This window comes from Homo sapiens, chromosome 12, assembly GCF_000001405.40.
Source record: "Homo sapiens chromosome 12, GRCh38.p14 Primary Assembly".
Lineage (NCBI taxonomy): Eukaryota > Metazoa > Chordata > Mammalia > Primates > Hominidae > Homo > Homo sapiens.
Window position 1 is genome coordinate 81,418,777 of NC_000012.12, and position 15,095 is coordinate 81,433,871.

At 33.2% G+C, this 15,095-nt stretch overlaps 1 protein-coding gene and 1 long non-coding RNA gene across 51 annotated transcripts in view; one reads left to right on the forward strand and one right to left on the reverse strand.

Annotated features, from left to right (window-relative positions):
* Positions 1-15,095, reverse strand: part of PPFIA2 (PPFI scaffold protein A2) — a 501,376-nt gene that overhangs the window by 160,802 nt on the left and 325,479 nt on the right. The window lies entirely within an intron of this gene.
* The window catches only part of PPFIA2-AS2 (PPFIA2 antisense RNA 2), a 141,042-nt gene that overhangs the window by 1,672 nt on the left and 124,275 nt on the right, over positions 1-15,095 (forward strand). The window contains exon 2 of one of the 3 annotated variants that reach the window (NR_199033.1): positions 5,885-5,922. The exons of the other annotated variants lie outside the window; for them this stretch is intronic. This is a non-coding gene — a long non-coding RNA (PPFIA2 antisense RNA 2). The remainder of the gene's footprint in view (positions 1-5,884; positions 5,923-15,095) is intronic. 3 annotated transcript variants of the gene reach the window in all.

The window sequence follows — 15,095 nt, forward strand, 5'->3', positions numbered from 1 at the left end:
TACGTTGTTTCTAATTTCCTTCACATAAGTACAAAGAAAAAATTACCCCTGAAAATGAAATTATTTGATAGTGATAATGTGTTTTTTCACATGCTATTTTGTCTACTCATGTCTAAATAGCAGAGATTCAGATAATATAATGATGTTGGTTAATATTAAAATGGAAACAGTTGAGAGAACACAGAAAAAAAACAGTTTAAAATTGAATGTCAATTGCATTTTCAATATTCTCCTTCTATAGAGGTGAAATTTATTTCACCGAATTTATCAGTATATAAAAATAGTTTTAACTTATATATTTCTAATATAAGACCCTTAAGGAAAGCAGTTTATTCTTTGGTTACTGATATGCCCTTGACATCCAAAACATTGCTTGGTATCCACCAAGTAGACAGTATAAAGTACTGATTAAGATTATGATTTGTGCGGTAGAATTCTGGTTCTACCACTTACTAACACTGAAATTAAACCAGTTGCTCAACTACGCTCTGCCTCAATTTTCCTATCTATAAAGTAATGATGTTTGCAACATCAGTCTGAAATGTTATTCATGAAAAAAAGAAAATCAGTTAAAATATATAAAGTACTTACAAGAGAACCTCACATGTTGTAGGGAATCCATAAGTGTTATTATTGTTGTTTTTATAAATATTTATTGAATGAATGTTCTTACAATAAACATAAAGTCTCATGATATTGCCCTTGTATACACGTTTTGATTTAATCATGTTACATGGTATTCATTTTTTTCTGTTTTTTTATTGTAATAAAAATTTTAACTTTTCTAAGATGGAATCCCAGTTTTTCTTTTGCTATACCTTGTATTGTTTGAAAGATGTCAGTGTATTATTTCAATACAAATAATATTTCATTCCCTAGTTATAATTTCACTTTTTATATTTAACTCATTTTTCACCTTATTTATGTTGGATATTCAAGTTTGAGAAGGAATAAAGAGTATATACATGACTTCTGGATATAAATTAGCTTTAAAAATGAAGTGGTTTGGCCATGTGCATTTGCATCCATATCCAAATCCATAGCCATGCCATATGAACCTGCATTCCAGACCTAGTACCACCATTGTTCGATGTATGTTCACAGTTCAGACACAGGCACCAAGAAGAATCCCCTCTACCACAACTTCTCCTGTGGGTGAAAAGGAAAGCAGGAGGACTTCAAAAGCTTTCATGACTGGGGACCCTGCAAGTCATTGCTGCCTTTGCAGACACTCTCAGCCTTGTCTACTAAAAACGCTGTAGTCTTCACCAGTGCTGACCTCAGCTGATGGAACTACCTGGAGTCTAACTGCTGCCCACTCCTGGAGCTGGAACAGCCACTGTGTCCTTCAGAGAAGAAGCTACCATACCCACCCAGTTGGTGGCTTCATACCTTCCCATAGGTGAGGTCTTTCCTTACTGAAGCCAGTACATAAAGTTTAAAGAGGTGACAACTCCTTCAAATGTGCAGACATCAATGCATGTCTATGAGAATATGAAAAATCAAGAAAATGCCACAAAAGGAACACAATAATTTTCTAGTAACTGACCACAAAGAAATGGAGAATAATAAGTTGCCTGACAGGGAATTCAAAATAATTATTTTAAAGAAGCTCAGCAAGCTACAAGCAAACACAGATACACAACTTGAAAATAATCAGCAGAACAATACATGAAAAAAATAAAAGTTCAATAAAGAGGTAAAAATCATAAAAAAGAGTCTAACAGAAGTTCTGGAGCTGAAGAATAAAATGAAAACTACAATAGAGTGCTTCAATAGCAGACTTGATCAAACAGAAGAAAGAATCTAAAAATTCAAGGACAGGTCTTTTGATCTTAACCAGTCATAGGAGAGAAAAATGAAAAAAAGGGAAGAAAGCCTATCATATCTATGGAACACCATCAAGTGGGCCAGTTTATGCATTATGGGAGTCCCAAAAAGAGAAAAAGAAAGAAAGAAATTGATAGAAAGCATATTTAGAGAAATAACAGCTGAAAAATCCCCAAATCTCAGGAGAGAAATGGCATGCAAATTCATGAAGCTCAAAAGTTCCCAAATAAGATCAACCCCAAAACACTGCACCGAGACAAATTATAATCAAATTATCAAAAGTCAAGGACAAAGAGATTAGAAAGCCAAAAGAAAAAAGCAACTCATTATGTGAAAGAGAATCCCTGTAAGACTATTAGTAGATTTCTCAGCAGAAACATTGCAGGCCAAGAGACAGTGGGATGATATATTCAAAGTACTGAAAGAAAATAACTGTCTACCAAGAACAATATATCCAACAAAATTATTCTTTAAAAGTGAAGAAGGGATAAAGTCTTTCCAATACAAATGAAAATTGAAGGAGTTTTTCAACTATAGACCTGCCTTAAAAGAAATGCACAAGGAAGTTCTTCAAATTTTAACAAAAACATGCTGAGTAGCAACATGAAAGCATGTAAGAGTATAAATCTCACTGGTTAAGGTAAACATACAGAGAAATGGAGGTTAAAGTAACATTATAATTGTATTGTATAAATTACTTTTAATCCTACTATAAAGGTTAGAGATACAAAATTGTTAATGGATACACAATATAAAAAGAAACTCTAACTACAAGAACACAAATCGGGCAGAGTAAAAAGGGGAGTAAAAGTGTGGAGGTTTTGTATTCAATTGAAGTTAAGTTGCTATTAACTTAAAAAAGACTGTTGTAACTACAAGATATTTTATGAAAGCTTTGAGCTAACCACAAATAAAATTCCCACAATATACATAAAATATACAAGAAGAAAAAAAATCAAAGCAAATAACTACAAAAAACCATCTAATTAAAAAGAAGACAGTAAGAGAGCAGAGAGAGAAAAATCAATGGCAAAATGTATAGAAAGCAATTAACAAAAAGAAATTAGTAATTCCTCACCTGTCAATAATTACTTTAAATATACATGAATTAAAATCACCAATCAAAAGGCATAGCATGGCTGAATGGATTTAAAGGAAAAAAATAATATAACAAGATCCAGTGGTTTATTTTTCATAAGACACTCATTTTACATATAAAGACACACACAGTTTGAAAATGAGGAGCTGAAGAAAGTTATGTTATGCAAATGGTAACCAAAAGAAAGCTAGGGGTAGTTATGCTTATATCATGAAAAGTTATGCCATGCAAACGGTAATCAAAAGAAAGCTGGGAATGGCTATGCTTATATCAGACAAAATAGACTTTAAGTCTAGAACTGTCTCTAGAGGCAAGAAGGTGATTATATAAACAGGTATATATATATACATATATATATACGTGTGTGTGTGTATATATATGTGTATATATATGTGTGTATATATATGTGTATATATATGTGTGTATATATATGTGTATATATATGTGTGTATATATATATATATATATGTCATTTTCATGAGATCTCAGATGAAAACGAGAAACAAGGTATTGGAAACTAAAGTAAATGCCATCCTGTTACACCTCTGCAAAGACTAGTAGAATTGTGTCTATATTATTGGACTTTATGGAATGAAGAACTTAAGAGTGAGGAACTATGATATCTGGTGAAAGAAATATCTAAGCAGCAAAGCATTCACCCTGCTGCATGACTACTTTTAACTGTTTACAGTGAAGTGTGACAGAAAAGGATTGTCTTAAGGGCAGAATTTATAATTAAAAGGAAAGCAGAGTGAAAAACCTTGGAAAATTCACAGCATGGGAAGGTAAAATGTGAAAAAATGTGGCCAAGCAACCATTTGCTAAAGAAATTACTACAGATGGAAGGGAGTCAAGGGCTACTCTTTAAGATAAACAAGTCACTTCTTACATGGACGGCAGCAGGCAAAGAGAGAGCTCATACAGGAGCTCTTATAATAACCCTCAGATCTCATGAGACTTATTCACTATCACAAGAACAGCACAGGAAAGACCTACCCCCATGATAAAATTACCTCCCATTGGGTCCCTCCCACAACACGTGGGAATTCAAGATGAGATTTGGGTGGGGACACAGCCAAATCATATCACCACTCATTAGGCTCTACCTCCCAAAACTGTTGCACTGGGATTAAGTTTCAAACCTATGAACTTTTGGGAGATGTATTCAAGCCATAGCTTTCTGCCCCTGGTTCCCAAAATTAATAAATTTAATAAAATCAGACATGAAAGAGGAGACATTACAACGAATGCCTAAAAAATATAAAGGATCATAAGAGACTACTATGAACAATTATAACCCAGCAAACTGCAGAGCCAAGAAGGAATGGGTAAATTCCAATAAACATACAATCTGCCAATACTGAATCAAAAAGAAATAGATAATCCGAACAGAAAAATAACAAATAAGGGGATTGAATCAGTAATAAACCAACCCAAATATGTCCATGAACCAATGCCTTCACAGATGAATTCTACCAAACACTGAAAGAGGAATTGATACCAACTCATCTTAAGCTCTTCCAAAAAATAGAAGAAGCAGTAACACTTAAAAGGTCAGGATCCCCTAATTCCAAAATCAGAGATACTACAAGAGAATAAAATTACAGGCCAATATTTCTGATGAACAAACATGCAAAAATCCTCAATATAATACTAGCAAACCCAATGCAACAGAACATTAAATAGATCACATATCATGACCAAGAGAGATTTATCTCTGGAATGCAAGGATAGTTTAACATACACAAATCAATCAATATGATACAACACATCAGCAAAATTTTTTAGAAACAGAATTATCTCAACAGATACAGAAAAGGCAAATGAAAAAGTTCAACATCTATTTATGAAAAATATTCTCAACAAAATTGGTATAGAAGAAAATTACCTCAGCACAATAAAGATCATGCGGGAAAAGTACATAGCTAACATCTTAATCCGTGGAGAAAAACTGAAAGCTTTCCTTCTAAGATCCAGCACAAGAAAAGGATGCCCACTTTTACTACTTCTTTTTGACATAGTACTGAAGTCCTAGCCATAGCAATTAGACAGGGAAAGAAAATAAAAAGCAAACAATTGGAAAGGAAGAAGTAAATAATCTGTATGCAAATGACATGACCACAGACATAAAAAACTGTAAAGGCTCACTGTTATAACTAATATCTATTTTAACTAATAAACAAAACAGTAAAGTTGCAGAATACAAAATCAACATTCAAAAATTAGTTGCATTTCCACACACAAACAACAATATAAAAAGGAAATTAAGAAAACAACCCCCTTAATAATAGCAATGAAAAGAATCAAATACTTAGCAATAAACTTAATCAAAGTGGTAAAAAACTTTAAAATGTATTTTAATATCTGTGCATTCTAGGGAAACCCCATACTCAACAATCTTTTAATTTTCATAACATTATTAAATGTTTTACATTAATATTTAATAAGGAAATTTCAGAATTATTTTATTTAAATCTCAAAACCATTATATTAGAATTTTGATTGAATTACACCTATAAAATAACTTGGGAAAAATAGATATCTTTACAATATCTAGCTCCAGACACAAAAATGAAACTGTTGTTTCCATGTATTTAGGACATTTTGTATTTCCTAAAACAATGGGATTTGCTACTTTAGCTAAAAATTTCTAAACATAATTCAGTGTTTACATATAAAATACATCTATATATCTATCTTTATAGTTATTTGAACGAAATATGCTTTTCACTAATGCTTTCTATTTATTGCTGGTGTGGGAATACTACTGATATTTACATATACATTTTTATATTACTTTATTAAGTTCATTAATAAATTCCAAACATTCTTTATGTTTTGTGTGTTCTAGAGTCTGCTTTTTGTACATTAATATTCATTCTCACATTCTTTAGCAATAGAACTTTTGTATATGGCCATGAAAATAGAGATTGCATGTCCTGGTCTCTTTTACAGCTTAGAGTGATGTGAGACCAAGTTTTCTTCAATGGCATGTAAGTAAGAGTCATGTGTGCTACTTCCTGATCTCGCCCTTAAAAGTTTTCTTTATATGTTTATTAGCTCCCTATAATACCTGCTGGCTGGAAGTAGTGCCATCTGTGACAGGCACTTTAACCCATACAGCGTATTTTTATGTCCCTCAGCCCACTTGTTCTGGATACAACAGACATATCAGTGCAGGTGCAAATCCATCTAATTCCATGGATAGATACAAATGTATGCTTCTTGGAATAAGTGTTGATTAACCAAAACCTGGAGAAAAGATTTTAAAAGGAGAGATTAGAAGAAATGAATACATCCAAGAAAAGGGAAATGGCTCAGGCATTTACTAACTATGTAATTCAGGTGAATTACTTTAAGCATTAGAACCATATTTTCTGCATCTTTAAAGTGGTGATAGTACTCCCTGTTTTAAAGGTGATTAGATAATCGCAAGATCTCAATACATTTTCACTGTTAATAACAGCAATAACCTCGTAATGTGGGGATCCATCAACTTGAAGGTAGGGAAAGGTAAGTAAGTGGTTGGAGCTTTCTGAGAACGATAAAACAGCACTTACATAAATATACTTGACTCAGCCTTATGCCTCAAAAACACCAGTTGCCTTTCCCAAACTTGCTAGTGACAGTATTTTATTTTTTTATTTATTCTTTTTTGAGATGAAGCCTCACTCTGTCACCCAGGATGGAATGCAGTGGCGCAATCTTGGCTCACTGCAACCTCCACCTCCCAGGTTCAAGCGATTCTCCTGCCTCAGCCTCCCGAGTATCGGGGACTACAGGCCTGTGCCACCATGCCCGGCTAAATTTTTGTATTTTTATGTATTTATTTACTTATTTTTAGTAGAGAGGGGGTTTCACCATGTTAGCCAGGATGGTCTCAAAGGTCTCGAAATCCTGACCTCATGGTCACCCAACTTGGGCTCCCAAAGTGCTGGGATTACGGGCGTGAGCCACTGCACCCAGCCCCTACAGTATTATTTAATTGTTTTGTAATTTTCTTTTAAAAGACTCTCTCTCTCTCTGCACTGGCTTTACAAAACTTCCACGACACATTTTCTGATTGTACTGTAAGTTATTTTCTTCCTTATCTCCCAATGACACTGTTTTCTACATGAAAAATACCATTTTGGCTTTATCAACATGTTATTAATTCATAATATGAGAGATCTATCAGCACTATTTGTAAAAATATTCAATTAAAAAAATTAAGATGATTTATAGTTGTGTGGTAAAGAATTTGACCTTACCCAAAGGAGGTCAGGCTTTTGCCCTCAGCCTTAAGGAGATAATCTTGTCATACCCAATAAAAGTGTTATTTTAAAGTGAGGCTGACTACACCTGATAATCCAGCTTGAGGGACAGTTATGCCAGTTTGACCAACTAGATGATTTAGGGAGCTTTCTCTCCCAACTTCAAAGCTGTGATGAATCAAACAGGTAATTAATCGATCATGCTTATGTAATGAAGCCTTGATTGAAACTTCAAAGATTGATTGACGTTCCTTGGTTGGTAATACTCTGTCATGTGTCAATTCTAGAAGGGTAATACGTCCTGAGGATAACAGAAGCTCTGTGTTTGGAATCATCCTGGACTCTGCACTTTGTTTCTCCTGCTTTGGCTGATTTTGATCTGTAACCTTTACCTATAATAAACCATAACTATAATATAATAGATTTCAGTGAGTGCTGTGAGGCTTTCTAGTGATTTATTGAACCTAAGGGTGGATGTGAGAATTTCCTGAACTTGCAGTTGGTATCAGAAGTGAGGGAGGTCCTATGGAGGACTGTGCCCTCAGATGTTGCAGTTTGGCTAAACTCAGGTAATAGTATATGGTAAATACCAACTGATCAAGTTATATTTGTTTTTTGCTAGGAAGTTTTTTAAAAGTAAAATCATTAGCAGTCAATTATCAATTAAAAAATTAAGTCAATTAATGTATATCTTTTTCATCCATCTTATTTATTTATTTATTTATTTATTTAGTGTTCCAAGAGTTCAGTTATTTGGAACTTCCACAGTTTTCAAGACTTGAGAGCTATTGCACTTTCTTGTTAAAAATGACATGGGAACAAATAGGTACTGCAGAAATCCTTTCATCTTGTTTAATATGACCTGAGGTGTCACATTTTCTATATTTAAAACATAGTGGCCACTGCAATGTTCTCATGCTATTTATTACTATTATACTGAAGTCTATACTGTGATATAATAATCAAATGTATCTTAAAAACTGTAAATATCTGGATGCTTTAATTAATCTTTTATGTATAGTTAAATGTTAAATTTTATCAAAGTATTTGGCATTTTTAAAGGTAGTTTAATTTGATTAATTGATTGAATACATGCTTTATTGATTTACACATTTTATGTCTCTTTCAGTGTAATGGAGTTATAAATTTTGAGATAATTCATGTATATATACTAGATATGAAGATATCATGATGGATTCAAATTACTGAAAGATGAGGAAACTATACCAGTTTTATACAGGAGGAAATATTGTTGGGAGAAAGGCCAGGTGACATAGTAACTACACCGAAATTGAAAGTCAGACATCTTGGATTTGGATTCCTGTCGACTAGTGATAACACTCAGAACAATTCACTTAGGTTCTATATGACTCAATTTCTTAACTTTCAAAATGCTAGTAATAATTATCCTTTTCTCATACATTAATTATGATAACTAAAAAATGTGTGTGGGTTCGGGGTATTGTTACAGTCCTTACTGTAGTACCAAGCACACAGTAACCTCCTCTAAAATTGCAGATGCTATTATTTTTATCAAACATGTGAATAAGTGAAATGCAATATCATTTATAAAATGCATATAGTGCTACAGAATTATTCTATGAACAAATAAGGTATTTGTTTATTCACAAGAAGAAGATTTCAAAATACAAAAAAAAGGAGATGTAGTCGTGGGTATAACATAAAGTACAGAGTACTACTATCATTTCATTTTTTATCACATTCAAAGTATCAACAGAAAAGTATTTTCATTTGCTCAACTAATAACTAATGTTTACTTTTGAGTCCAATAATAGCAATACAACTTCAGTATGCCAAGTTTACAAAGTGCTTCCCTGTATATTGTCTCATCCAAATATTACGACTTCTTTGAAAGATACGTCCAAAATTTACTAATACATTCTATTTCATGGATGAAAAAGAATGAGGCACTGAGAAGTTGAATTAATTGCCAGGTGCTATGGAATTAGTAAATGATAGCTCTATAATTCAATCTTGAATCTTCTGACTTAAAGTTAATATTCTTTAACTTTTTATCTTGCCTCTCACCAAAGTTCAATATTTCATCTAAATTTCTAAGCAATAAGTAATCTTTCTCAAAATGTTAGCTTAAAAACAATAAGAATAAATATGGGTAAAATAAAATAGGTCAATTTATGATGCTTATGATCAAAGTATTAATATCAAACACGATCTTACTATTAATAGAGAAAAAAAGCATTCAAAATCTCCACATGCAACAATAGAACTATGTCTGCTACCACAAATAAAAAAAAACCTTATGCTCTCATCAAAGAAAATATTCTAATCAAAATAGGAGAGAGTCTGGAAAGATTTGCAAACAAACTTCAAATGTCTTATACACAGTAGGTGACACTTTTAACTTCTATTTTAGATAATTGCTTCACACAAGACTTGGAACTAGTAAAATTAGTGGAAGTAGCAAACAGCAATTTTGTTACCTATCTTCTTTGTTGGATTTTAACAGGTATTGTTATAAAACACCTTGATTTTTTTTGTCTGGGAAAGATTCTTTGTATTATAACAGTACAATCATCAACAGCAAAAGATACATTTTCTATTCATGATAATAACTTGGACAATTTACAGTTTATTCATTTATCTTTATAATACAATATCATCATAAAGGATAATCAAGAGGTACAATAAGAAATCATAGGTCTTTGTAAATAACTACTGGTTTAACAATACTGAAACTTTTAGTTTACCAATCTAAAATTAAAAAAAAATCCATTGTTCAACCATTATTCAACTTTTCTAGGAAATTAAAATCTATACAATCTTCTAACCAAAAATGATACATTTCCAACAGGAATAATACGTTCCCAATAAGTGGGTCTTTTGGAATCTCACAACTGTTGGCAGGCAAGCTAAAAGCATAGCATCAGACAGTTTTGCATTATCTTTAAGGAATATAAGTTCAGAGCTCCAAGGGTGTCACTGTCCTATGCAAACACTGTTGTCATTAAACGCATACTGTCATCTGGTAAGTTTAGTCATGGCGACTTGTTTCAATTGTTAATAAAACAAACAAACAAAAAATCTCTTTTATCTGACTTTCTGTTCGAATGTTAACTGAAAATTGGTCATGGAATTTACTAATATGATTCCTAATGTTTAAAATAAGCTAATCAGTGGAATTAGAATATGTAGCATGCATAAACATGTGGAAAATTAGAAAGTCATTATGAGAGTAATCATTTTTATAAAGCAGTGATAGACATACAAAATTAAATCTGCTTTCATCTCCCAGAACTGAGGAAGAGATAGAATTTAAAAATACAAAAGTGAGTAATTTGCAAAGGCCCCTCAAAAGAAATGATTCTTATTTTTAGGATTCTGAAATAATTTAACTTAAGAGATTTTGCAGTGGTCTCTTTTTCTACATCTGGAGCTTTCTACTCACAGATATGGCAGTTTTAATTTGAAGAGAAAACTGACTTAGTCACTTGATTAATTTTTCAAATAAACGATCCTATAACTTCAGATGAGTATTTCTATTACTTCCCTCTAGGCAAATTCCTTAATAGAGTATTGTTCAGCAAATCTCCTACTTTCTCCATGTTTTTCTGCATAATTATCAGCTATTTAAGTTTCTTTTAAACTATTCAAATATAGCTGAACTACTCATGGATTTCAGAAGTTCCCTAATTTTTACCCGTGTCAAATTTTAGGGAAAAGTTATAACACTGATTTTATTCTAAGTGGCCAAAGCAATCAAAGACAACTTTAGCTCAATATTTGTATCTCTTCCTTTTGAATTATGATGAATAAAATAACTTTATAGATTTAAATAAGGAAATACCATTGGAGAATCCATGTTGTTTCAGTTGATAAGAGCTGTGAAATACTGGCTTTTATTTAATTTGCTGGGGTAACTTAATGAGAACCTCATCTGGGTCCACCATCCCATACTAAAATTTATTCGCTTAGTCTTATTGGTTCCTTGCTATGTTCTATGTTGTCTCGTTTACAGTCTCCTTAGTTCCTAAAAAGTAACTCTGTTCTCACTTTCCTTAGCAGATAACCCATCTCCTTGAGAAGAACCCCTGATGAAAAAGAAATCCTCTCCAAATCAATATCTTCATTCATCACTACACTACATGTTCTATTTTCCTTCCTCCATTTCTCAGAGGAAGGAGTTCTATTACTTGCCATTGATCTTAAAATTATAGTTATCCTCCACTGTGCTGCCATCCATAATTTCATGTCCTTCATTTGTGGCTTTGTTTTCAATGGCTATAAGCATTTTCAATTTTGTCCCATTATAACAAGGCTGTCACTCAATACTGTCTGGAATCATTCAGCATATACCCTCTCCTTCCCTTCGTTGCTGAATTTCTCAAAAGAGTATTACCTTCTTTCATTTATCTGAACTCATACATACTTTTAATCGCAGCTATTCTACTTTCATTAGAGTTTACTGCAACTATCTCTGTAAACATTTCCAGTGACCTCTTAAGTATAAGTGAAATCATTTCATATCAGACATAATCCTCCATGCCTTCAAGAAACATTGAACACCTCCAATCTTTATGCTTAAAACTCTCTCTCTCTCTCTCTCTCTCTCTCTCTCTCTCAATATCTTGCTATCTCACTACTTCTATCTCTAATTTGGTTCAGTGACTCTTGACTTGCTTGAGTCTCATATCTCTCCTTCCTTCATTCCAGCCTTTTGCTTTTAGAATAGCTTCCACCTTTGCCTGTATCTATTCACCTTTTCCAGTTTTCCATTTAATTCCATGCATTTAACAGAATACTAGTTGTTAACCTAACTCAAAGGATTTGGGGGATGATTACATGGAATAATGTGTATGATGCAATGGCTATGATCCATGGGCCTGTAATGCCCCCAAAATGTGTGTTGCTGCCTCTATCTCCTTTCAACATCCTGATGCAATATTTTTCTAAATGTGAATATTACTTAATACGCCCATGCAAGTTCTTTAATTTTTCCTTAGGAAAATAGACTTCAGAGATAAAGCTGATTGTAGATGAGGTACAATAATTGTTAATTTCCTTGGAAAATTCTAATTGAAAATTGGTAAATTCAGTGGTTGGAATAAGTATGCACAGAGTAAAGGCAATAAAAAATATAGTTCAGCCTGCAACTACACTTGCCAGTTCTTTTTATGTATAATGTAATCATGTGGAAAGGCTTTTAAAATAAGCACGCCTGTGTATTCACTGCAAATTAGTCTGTCAATTGAATTTTTACAGGTGCTTCTGAATAATCCATTTCGTCTGGCTTAATTACATAATTTTAAAAGTGTACAGGTTTCTGATAAAAGAGAACACATTGTTAGGATGTAATCTATTTATTACCCCTTGTACTTCCCTTTATTGTGCTTTTTTTTGGCTTTCCAATTTTAAGCAATAACAATAATACTCTGCAAAAAAATAAAGACTTTATTGTATTTTCTGTGTCTAAATTGTCTGGGCTCACTTTTTTAGGACAATGGCCTGGAACATGTAATCAACATTAACAATCCAATCTGCCTAAGTGGGGCCATTCAAAAAGGCCTAAAATTACAACACATTTTCATTATGTATATATTTATTTACAATATTTTGTTTGATTTTTAAAATTTATATTTGCCATTACTAAAAGAACATAAGAAATGCCACACTAAATAATACCTGTGGTCTACTCAATGCTGTATTTTCTGACACTGTCCCCTTGATTCTTTTAAGATCATGAAGATTCTTTTAAATCTATCCTTAAACACAGTACCTTGACCATCTAATACATTTCTTACCTTTAACTTTTTGAGATACCACTAGTCTATAAAACCGAAAATCCAATCACATCTCTTCTCTTCCTAAAAATTCTGTTGGCTCACTGCTGTCTGCAGGACAAAGCCCAACTCTAGCCACCCCTCACTCAGATCTGCCTCTCTCTGTCACCTCCTCCCCAATCCTACCTCTACCTGCTTCTATTTTCTTTCTCCAAGTCCATCTGGTGAGCTCTTTATAGTCACTTTTGTAGCACCATCTGTTTTTCCTATTCATACCCCTACAATGAATTCCTCCCTTTGGTAATATTACTAAACCTTGTACCTACTTTTATATTCACATTAGTCATACTGTATTATAATTATGTTTACTGTGATAAAACAAGATAAATAATTAGTTTTTTAATCATTTTTAAGTGTGCCCTTTAAGTACTACTCAATGGCATAAAGTACATTCACATTGTTAATCAGCCATTACCATCATCTGTCTTCCGAACTTCATTCATCTTCCCAAACTGAAATTCTGTACACATTAAATACTAACTCTTCATTATAATTGCTTTTTAACAAATAGATAGGGTCTCGCTTTGTTGCTGAGGCTGGTCTCACACTCCTGAGTTCAAGCGACCCTCCTGCCTCAGTGTAACGAGTAGGTAGGATTTCACATATATGCCACCACACCCAGCTTACAATTAGTTTTTAACATTAACAGGTCTATCTCACATACTGGCCTTCGGAGCAGAACTAACTTTTTTTTTTTTTTTTTTTCAATACAGAGTCTTGCTCTGTCACCCAGGTTGGAGTGCAGTGGCGTGATCTTGGCCCAATGCAACCTCTGCCTCCCGGGTTCAAGCGATTCTCCTGCCTCAGCCTCCTGAGTAGCTGGGATTACAGGCACGCACCACCATGCCCAGATGATTTTTGTATAGAGACTGGGTTTCACCATGTAGGTCAGGCTGGTCTTGAACTCCTGACCTCATGATCCACCCACCTCGGCCTCCCAAAGTGCTGGGATTACAGGCGTGAGCCACTACGCCCGGCTAGAACTAACTATTTACAAATATGAGTTTGTTAACATATTTATACCCAGTACTTAATGAAATGCCTGGCAACTGGAAGATGCCCAATAAGTATTTGTTAAAGTACCATGATTAGAATCACATATTATATTATTATGTTAACCAAACGCATCAAATTATGCCAACTTTCTAGCTCTTTGCCACGTCAGCCTTACACTTTACAAAAAACAAACATTAACAAAAAAAACCACACAAAAACATACCTTTAATGGTTTTCACTTTAACAAAAATTAAAAAAAAAACAGAAAAAAACCCATAATATTACCTTTAGTGCTTTCTCATTTCAGAAAGCATAAAATCTACAAATTTTTAGCTCTTCAGAATCTGGATCCCATCAACCTCTTTACCCTCCTCTTCTGTATCTTTTCACACCCTGACTTTTATCAATGCAACATTCCTTATTCTTGAAACAGCAGTTTCAGATTTTCTTAATCATTCTGTCTCCTCAGCCTGAAATACTTCCCACAGTTTTGAAGTTAAATCATAGCCTTCCTTCAAGGATATACTCAAATGCTGTCTTTTTAGGTTGAAGTCTTCTCCGATCCTTTGGCACAGAATACGCTTATTCTCTGTTCCCTTCTGTATTTTGCTTGTGCCTGTATTTTGTATTTAGTTAGTTTTGCACTAAATTACATGTTAGTTATACGTGTATACGTCTGTCTCTTTCACTAGAGGGCAAGTTATATGAAAATTTACTTAATACCTCATTTATTTTCTTTCTTTCCATTTCTTCCTTTCAGAGACTCTCAAAATTTTCTGCACATGGTAGAGATTAATTAATTAAATTGAAAGACGAAACAACTTGTTCATTTGATACATATGATCAACATATTGCTGTTTATTGAGCATACTGAATGTTGTTCAAATGGTTCATTAAGAGAATAGTCAAAGAACAACATGAAAACACTAGTCAGAATGAAGTGTAGATAATGCAATTTGACAAACATATATTGATCAAGAGGTTCATATCACTGTTACTGAGTGAAATAAATATAAAGGAGAGAGATGAAGTCTATTTCTCAGTAAACTAACTACATAGGCTTACACAAGTATAAAATTAACCCTAATACTTGTTGAA